Here is a 1,029-nt window from a genome sequence, read left to right on the forward strand (position 1 = left end):
GGTTCAAGGGATTACCCTGCCTCAGCCTCCCGAGTAGCTGGGATTACAGGCGCACGCCACCATGCCCAGCTAATTTTTGTATTTTTAGTAGAGGCAGGGTTTCTCCATGTTGGTCAGGCTGGTCTTGAACTCCCAACCTCAGGTAATCTGCCCGCTTCGGCCTCCCAAAGTGCTGGGATTACAGGCGTGAGCGGGCCCAGCCCCTATACCCCAGATTTCTGCAAGTGGCAACACCACTGGCTTCATTTTGCTGGTGGCCCCTCTGGCCTTCCCTTGTATATATCACCTTTGCCCAAAGACCATGTCAGCCAAGGGACTGCTCTCACAGCTCCAGGAATCCTCCCCTTTCAGGAAATTTGAGGCAGTTGAGGGCATGAAAGTAAATAAGCTGAGCTCATCAGAGGCCTTGTATTGTGGTGGTTAAAAGAGCCAGTTCTAGGACTAGAAAGCCTGGCTTGAAATCCCAGCTCTGCCACTCCCTAGTGGTGTGACTTTAGCAAGTTCCTTTACCTCTTTTGTACCTCCCTTTTCTCACCTGTAAGATATGGGTGATAATAGTTTAATATTTGTTTTGTTGTTGTGAGGATTAAAGGTGTTAATGCAAGTAAACCACTTAGAACCACAGCACATAGAATATCTCAGTAAGGTGGTTAGTTTTTTTTATTGTTGTTTTCAGAGATGCTGTGATTTCTCCAAAGTGGCTGTGATGGCTCGGCAGGCTCCTGACCCTCTCTGCTCCCACATGCCTCCACCCTCATCCTGATCTCCCATCCAGCTTTTGACAGCTTGCTTGGTGCTGGACAATTGCACACATCTTACCACCCCCAAATCCTGCCCAGAAGCATCTTGTGCATAACTCTCCTACCTGAATATGCAACAGGGAGAAAGAGCGTCCCAGGACATTTTAGGTTTTTGAAGAAAAAAAAACCCCTTTGGTAAAAAGCCAGAGATCCACAGCGGCCACTTTTTCCATGGGATTGACCCCTGCAATCTTGACTTTCAACCACACAGCACCAGAGTAGCCAAACA

The 1,029-nt window shown here is 48.2% G+C and overlaps 1 annotated feature.

Annotated features, from left to right (window-relative positions):
• Positions 252–752: an enhancer, noted in NCBI's record as "H3K27ac hESC enhancer chr6:29622853-29623353 (GRCh37/hg19 assembly coordinates)". NCBI's record gives its function as "activates a minimal SCP1, AML or CMV promoter by ChIP-STARR-seq in naive H9 embryonic stem cells {active_cell/tissue: H9 hESC(naive)}" and the evidence as "EXISTENCE:reporter gene assay evidence [ECO:0000049][PMID:30033119]".

This window comes from Homo sapiens, chromosome 6, assembly GCF_000001405.40.
Source record: "Homo sapiens chromosome 6, GRCh38.p14 Primary Assembly".
Classification (NCBI taxonomy): Eukaryota; Metazoa; Chordata; class Mammalia; order Primates; family Hominidae; genus Homo; species Homo sapiens.